Source organism: Homo sapiens, chromosome 5, assembly GCF_000001405.40.
Source record: "Homo sapiens chromosome 5, GRCh38.p14 Primary Assembly".
NCBI classification, from domain to species: domain Eukaryota; kingdom Metazoa; phylum Chordata; class Mammalia; order Primates; family Hominidae; genus Homo; species Homo sapiens.
Window position 1 is genome coordinate 174,018,546 of NC_000005.10, and position 1,911 is coordinate 174,020,456.

Here is a 1,911-nt window from a genome sequence, read left to right on the forward strand (position 1 = left end):
AGCGCTTCCTTCAGGAGCTCTTTTAGGGCAGGCTTGGTGGTGACAAAATCTCTCAGCATTTGCTTGTCTGTAAAGTATTTTATTTCTCGTTCGCTTATGAAGCTTAGTTTGGCTGGATATGAAATTCTGGGCTGAAAATTCTTTTCTTTAAGAATGTTGAATATTGTCCCCCACTCTCTTCTGGCTTGTAGGGTTTCTGCCGAGAGATCAGCTGTTAGTCTGATGGGCTTCCCTTTGAGGGTAACCCGACCTTTCTCTCTGGCTGCCCTTAACATTTTTTCCTTCATTTCAACTTTGGTGAATCTGACAATTATGTGTCTTGGAGTTGCTCTTCTCGAGGAGTATCTTTGTGGCGTTCTCTGTATTTCCTGAATCTGAACGTTGGCCTGCCTTGCTAGATTGGGGAAGTTCTCCTGGATAATATCCTGCAGAGTGTTTTCCAACTTGGTTCCATTCTCCCCATCACTTTCAGGTACACCAATCAGACGTAGATTTGGTCTTTTCACATAGTCCCATATTTCTTGGAGGCTTTGCTCATTTCTTTTTATTCTTTTTTCTCTAAACTTCCCTTCTCGCTTCATTTCATTCATTTCATCTTCCATTGCTGATACCCTTTCTTCCAGTTGATCTCATCGGCTCCTGAGGCTTCTGCATTCTTCACGTAGTTCTCGAGCCTTGGTTTTCAGCTCCATCAGCTCCTTTAAGCACTTCTCTGTATTGGTTATTCTAGTTATACATTCTTCTAAATTTTTTTCAAAGTTTTAACTTCTTTCCCTTTGGTTTGAATGTCCTCCCGTAGCTCGAGTAAATTGATCGTCTGAAGCCTTCTTCTCTCAGCTCGTCAAAGTCATTCTCCATCCAGCTTTGTTCCGTTGCTGGTGAGGAACTGCGTTCCTTTGGAGGAGGAGAGGCGCTCTGCTTTTTAGAGTTTCCAGTTTTTCTGTTCTGTTTTTTCCCTATCTTTGTGGTTTTATCTACTTTTTGGTCTTTGATGATGGTGATGTACAGACGGGTTTTTGGTGTGGATGTCCTTTCTGTTTGTTAGCTTTCCTTCTAACAGACAGGACCCTCAGCTGCAGGTCTGTTGGAATACCCTGCCGTGTGAGGTGTCAGTGTGCCCCTGCTGGGGGGTGCGTCCCAGTTAGGCTGCTCGGGGGTCAGGGGTCAGGGACCCACTTGAGGAGGCAGTCTGCCCGTTCTCAGATCTCCAGCTGCGTGCTGGGAGAACCACTGCTCTCTTCAAAGCTGTCAGACAGGGACATTTAAGTCTGCAGAGGTTACTGCTGTCTTTTTGTTTGTCTGTGCCCTGCCCCCAGAGGTGGAGCCTACAGAGGCAGGCAGGCCTCCTTGAGCTGTGGTGGGCTCCACCCAGTTCGAGCTTCCCGGCTGCTTTGTTTACCTAATCAAGCCTGGGCAATGGCGGGCGCCCCTCCCCCAGCCTTGCTGCCGCCTTGCAGTTTGATCTCAGACTGCTGTGCTAGCAATCAGCGAGACTCCTTGGGGTAGGACCCTCCGAGCCAGGTGCTGGATATAATCTTGTGGTGCGCCATTTTTTAAGCCCGTCGGAAAAGCGCAGTATTCGGGTGGGAGTGACCCGATTTTCCAGGTGCTGTCCATCACCCCTTTCTTTGACTCGGAAAGGGAACTCCCTGACCCCTTGCACTTCCCAAGTGAGGCAATGCCTCGCCCTGCTTCGGCTCGCGCACGGTGTGCGCACCCACTGACCTGCACCCACTGTCTGGCACTCCCTAGTGAGATGAACCCGGTACCTCAGATGGAAATGCAGAAATACCCGTCTTCTGCGTCGCTCACGCTGGGACCTGTAGACTGGAGCTGTTCCTATTCAGCCATCTTGGCTCCTCCCCCCACATTTTTCTTTTCTTTTAAAAAATTTCTATGAAATTGAATCTT

The 1,911-nt window shown here is 48.6% G+C and overlaps 1 annotated feature.

Annotated features, from left to right (window-relative positions):
- Positions 965 to 1,554: an enhancer, noted in NCBI's record as "OCT4-NANOG-H3K27ac-H3K4me1 hESC enhancer chr5:173446513-173447102 (GRCh37/hg19 assembly coordinates)". NCBI's record gives its function as "activates a minimal SCP1, AML or CMV promoter by ChIP-STARR-seq in naive H9 embryonic stem cells {active_cell/tissue: H9 hESC(naive)}" and the evidence as "EXISTENCE:reporter gene assay evidence [ECO:0000049][PMID:30033119]".